The sequence below is a fragment of the Homo sapiens genome, chromosome 17 (assembly GCF_000001405.40).
Source record: "Homo sapiens chromosome 17, GRCh38.p14 Primary Assembly".
NCBI classification, from domain to species: Eukaryota; Metazoa; Chordata; class Mammalia; order Primates; family Hominidae; genus Homo; species Homo sapiens.
Genome location: NC_000017.11, coordinates 78,099,503 through 78,104,484, shown reverse-complemented (window position 1 = coordinate 78,104,484; position 4,982 = coordinate 78,099,503). Strand labels below are relative to the sequence as shown.

Sequence of the window (4,982 nt, the reverse complement as noted above, 5' to 3'; positions counted from 1 at the left end):
CTGCAACAGCAAGATGGGGCACGTGAACAGGGCCACCCCAAGTCCTGCTGAGTTCGTGGCACTGGCTTTCTCTGTATTGGGAACGGCCCCACATGGAAGCCATCCTGTGGCTTCTGTTTTGCCACTGCTATTTCCAAACCCAGACTGTGAATGTTTTGCTCAGTTCAGACTTCTAGTGGCAACATCGTACTGGTACACAGAGTACATCTTCAAGTGCGTGAACAGATCATTAAATGTGGGCTCGTTTAGGGTCAGTGTCATTTGCATCCTGGGCTAAAAACAGGAATGACTAATTTCTAGGTTCCAACGTCTCAAGTGATGTTACTGATCAGGTCTACTCGTACTTCTATCAAAAGCAACCTTTCACTAGGGTGAAGGGTTGGCTGTGAGGACCACTGCTGGGCCCTGTGTAGGAATGTGTCACAGGGAGGGAGTAGACACAGCAACTCAGCAGCAGAAAAAAACCAGTAAGTCCCAAGATACCTGTGAGGAACTGACCTGTGTCGCCTTTCCCCAATTCCTTTGTTGAAGTCCTAACACCCAGTACCTCCCCATGTGACTACGTTTGGAGATGGGGTCTTTAAGGCGGGAATTAAGTTAGTTAGATGAGGTCACATGGGTAGGCCCTAGTCCAACAGGACTGGTGTCCTTATAAGGAGAGATTACGGCACAGACATGCACAAAGAGACGACCATATAAGAACAGAGGGAGAAGGCAGCTGTCTACAGCCAAGGAGAGAGGCCTCAGGAGAAACCAGCCCTGCCCACACCTTCATCTTGGGTATCAGACTTCCAGCCTCCAGAAGTGGGAGGGTGGCCAGCCTGTGGGATTCTGCTATGGTGGCTCAGGACACCCCTGCAACACCCCTAACCTAATGCTCTGGGGGATGGGGAGCTACTTGGAGCGCTGAGGTGGCTGTGAGAAAACATACATGTGCAGAGACTTCTGGGCCTTGGCAGCCTCCTCCTTGGAGCTGTACCGGACCACAGCATTGCCTTGAGTCAGATTCAGGTGGAATGTGATAAGAGGCCCATGTTGCAAACACAATGTCCGCAGTGTAGAACCATCAATCTGATAGAGGAAGCACAGGGACATGAATGAGCTTTCTTCTGATTTCTTTCACTACAGCCTTCCAAAGAAAAAACGTATGAAATTGGATACACTAAACACTAGGAATGTTTTTCTTTAAAAGGCCTAATAATATGTGGTTTTACAACATTAACGTTTTATATCTCTGTGGCCAAACGTGTAACTAAAAACTTGGATGCTTCAGTTACATTTTATAAGTTAGGCTAATCAGAGGAAGGAGAAAAACCCCATTTTGAATTCTGCTCTCCTTTCACCAGAGCACGTCGCACAGAGCCTCTGGTTTGCAAAAGGCACCTGGGTCCAGCTGCTGACAACAGACTTGGGAGACGTGCAGGTGGGTGTGGCCTGGGTCCCGGGAAGGGACTGGCTAGCCCCACAGTCTGATGTGGCCAAACGACTCTTTTAAAAAATGTTATAAAAATACACACATGGGGTCTTGCTATGTTGCCCAGGCTGGTCTCCAACTCTTGGGCTCAGGTGATCCCTGGCCTCGGCCTCCCAAAGTGCTGGGATTACAGGCATGAGCTACTGCGCCCAGCCAGGCCCAACCACTCTTGAATGGCTAGTTGTAAAATAAACAATTCTATTTACAGAGCACACTTTTCCAGCCTCTGGTGGGGAAACAAACAATTCACCAGGAACATGGTTAAAAGAGGCCCCTGGGCCCCATCTGCTGCCGCTGCTGGAGCCAATCCTGGCACTTGCTCATCTCCTCCCATGCAGCGTCACTTATGGACCCTGACCAAGAACCCCCAACTATCCTGCCCCACCAGACAGCCTCATCTGCATTGGGGGCCAAGCGGGAACCCTCCCTGGATCATGCTCAGTGATGCAGGGGCACCATATTGCACCTGGGGAGTGAGGTTTCGAAGAACGAGCCAGCTGCTGGTTCTTCCTGAGGTGTCGGTGCTCCAGGCAGAACCTGCAACAAGAGGGGAGAACCTGGTTGACAAGGCCCCGTGCCAGTGGATAGTGCGGCCCTCCCCACTTCTTATTGTGCTGAAGTGTGGGACAGCACAGGCCGTCACTGCGTGCTTTAGGAAAGCCTTTCTCAGCCTGGGAGGCCCATGCTATCTTTGGTAAACCAAAACCTCACAGTCCCTGCAGACCCCCTTCCCACTTCCCCGTGGTGACTCTGACTTTTTGGATCTTCCCACCAGCCCGGGAGGCCTGTGTTTTCCCATCTGTGCCAGGAGAGACGGGGGTGATGAGGCCCGAGAATCTCCAGGGAAGCTCTGCTCTCCACCTCTGCCTGTCCCCAGACCCGGTGTGGAATCAGTGCTCCCAGGTTCTTCTGGTTAATACAACAGAGCAAATCCCTGAAGGCTGCCGCTAAAAGGCAGAAACCATTACTTTCCAACTATCTGATACGGTTTGGCTGTGTCCCCATCCAAATCTCATCTTGAATTGTAACTCCCGTGATTCCCACCCCCACCCCAAAATCTGGCCATTAAACTGGCCCCAAAACTGGCCATAAAAAAAACTCTCTGCAGCACTGTGACATGTTCATGATGGCCATGACGCCCATGCTGGAAGGTTGTGGGTGTACCGGAATGAGGGCAAGGAACACCAGGCCCACCCAGGGCGGAAGACTGCTTAAAGGCGTTCTTAAACCACAAACAGTAGCACGAGCGATCTGTGCCTTAAGGATATGCTCCTGTTGCAGATAACTAGCCAAACCCATCCCTTTATCTCCCATAAGGGATACTTGTAGTTAATCTAGTATCTACGGAAACAATGCTAATGACTGACTTGCTGTTAATAAATACGTGGGTAAATCTCTGTTTAGGGCTCTCAGCTCTGAAGGCTGTGAGACCCCCGATTTCCCACTTCACACCGCTCTATTTCTGTGTGTGTGTCTTTAATTCCTCTAGTGCCTCTGGGTTAGGGTCTCCCTGATCAAGCTGGTCTTGGCACGGAAGCAACTTTGGAACTGGGTAACAGGCAGAGGTTGGAACTCAAGGCTCAGAAATAGACGGGAGAATGTGGGAAAGTTTGGAACTTCCTAGAGACTTGTGAAATGGCTTTGACAAATTGCTGATAAGGATATGGACAATAAAGTCCAGGCTGCAGCGGTCTCAGATGGAAATGAGGAACTTGTTGGGAACTGGGGCAAAGGTGGCTCTTGTTGTTTTAGCAAAGAGACTGGCGGCATTTTGCCCCTGCCCTAGAGATTTGTGGAGCTTTCAACTTGAGAGGGATGATTGAGGGTATCTGGCAGAAGAAATTTCTAAGCAGCAAAGCCTTCAAGAGGTGACTTGGGTGCTGCTAAAAGCATTCCGTTTTATAAGGAAAGTCGAACATGAAAGTTCAGAAAATTGGCCAGGCACGGTGGCTCACGCCTGTAATCCCAGCATTTTGGGAGGCTGAGATGGGTGGATTACGGGAGGTCAGGAGTTTGAGACCAGCCTGGCCAACATGGGGAAACCCCATCTCTACTAAAAATACAAAAATTAGCTGGGCATGGTGGCAGGCACCTGTAGTCCCAGCTACTCGGGAGGCTGAGACAGGAGAATCACTTGAACCTGGGAGGCAGAGGTTGCAGTGAGCCGAGATCACGCCACTGTACTCCGGCCTGGGTGACAAGAGTGAAACTCCATCTCAAAAAAAAAAAAAAAAAAAAAAGGAAATCCCATTTTCTGAGGAAAAATTCAAGCTGGGTGCAGAAATTTGCCTAAGTAACGAGGAGCTGCATGTTAATCCCTAAGACAATGGGGAAAATGGAGACTGTCTCTAGAGCATGTCAGAGGTCTTCAGAGAAGCCCCTCCCATCACAGGCCCAGAGGCCTACAAGGAAAAAATGGCTTCATGGGCCAGGCCCAGGGTCCACATGCTGTGTGCAGTTTAGGAATTTGGTGCCTTGTGTCCCAGCCGCTCCAGTTGTGACTGAAAGGGGCCAAGGTACAGTTTGGGCCATGGCTTCAGAGGGAGCAATCTCCAAGCCTTGGCAGCTTCCACGTGGTGTTGAGACTCTGGGTGCACAGAAGTGAAGAACTGAGGTTTGGGAACCTCCACCTAGATTTCAGAGGATATACGGAAATGCCTGGATGTTCAGACAATACTTTGCTGTGGGGCAGGGCTCTCATGGACAACCTCTGCTAGGGCAGTGTGGAAGGGAAATGTGGGGTTGGAGCCCCCACACAAAGTCCCTACTGGGGCACCACCTAGTAGAGCTATGAGAAGAAGGTCACCGTCCTCTAGACCCCAGAATGGTAGATCCACTGACAGCTTGCACCGTGTGCCTGGAAAAGCTGCAGACAATACCAGCCCGTGAAGACAGCCAAGAGGGAGGCTGTACCCTGCAGAGCTGCCCAAGACCATGGTAACCAACCTCTTGCCTAAGCATGACCCAGATGCGAGATATGAAGTCAAAGATCATTTTGGAGCTTTGAGATTTGACTGCCCTGCTGGATTTTGGTCTTGCATGGGGCCTGAGCCCCTCTGTTTTGGCCAATTTCTCCCATTTGGAATGACTGTATTTACCCAATGCCTGTACCCCCATTGTATCTAGGAAGTAACTAAGTTGCTTTTGATTTTACAGGCTTGTAGGTGGAAGGGACTTGCCTTACCTCAGATGAGACTTTGGACTGTGGACTTCTGAGTTAATGCTGAAATGAGTTAAGACTTTAGGGGACTGCTGGGAAGGCATGATTGGTTTTGAAATGTGAGGACATGAGATTTGGGAGGGGTCAGGGGCAGAATGATATGGTTTGGCTGTGTCCCCACCCAAATCTCATCTTGAATTGTAACTCCCACAATTCCCATGTTTCGTGAAGGAACCCAGTGGGAGGTTAACTGAATCATGGGGGCAGGTCTTTTCCATGCTGTTCTCGTGATAGTGAGTAAGTCTCATGAGAGCTGATGGTTTTAAAAATGGGAGTTTCCCTGCACAA

General features: G+C 50.1%; 1 protein-coding gene across 21 annotated transcripts in view; it reads right to left on the bottom strand.

Moving 5' to 3' along the window:
• TNRC6C (trinucleotide repeat containing adaptor 6C) overlaps window positions 1-4,982 on the bottom strand; it is a 151,279-nt gene that overhangs the window by 4,351 nt on the left and 141,946 nt on the right. For all 21 annotated transcript variants that reach the window (NM_001395512.1, NM_001395509.1, NM_001142640.2 and 18 more), the window contains 2 exons: window positions 1,941-2,011; window positions 932-1,071 (listed from right to left, as the gene is read on the bottom strand). In NM_001395512.1, coding sequence (NP_001382441.1) covers window positions 932-1,071; window positions 1,941-2,011 — 211 coding nt within the window. The remainder of the gene's footprint in view (window positions 1-931; window positions 1,072-1,940; window positions 2,012-4,982) is intronic.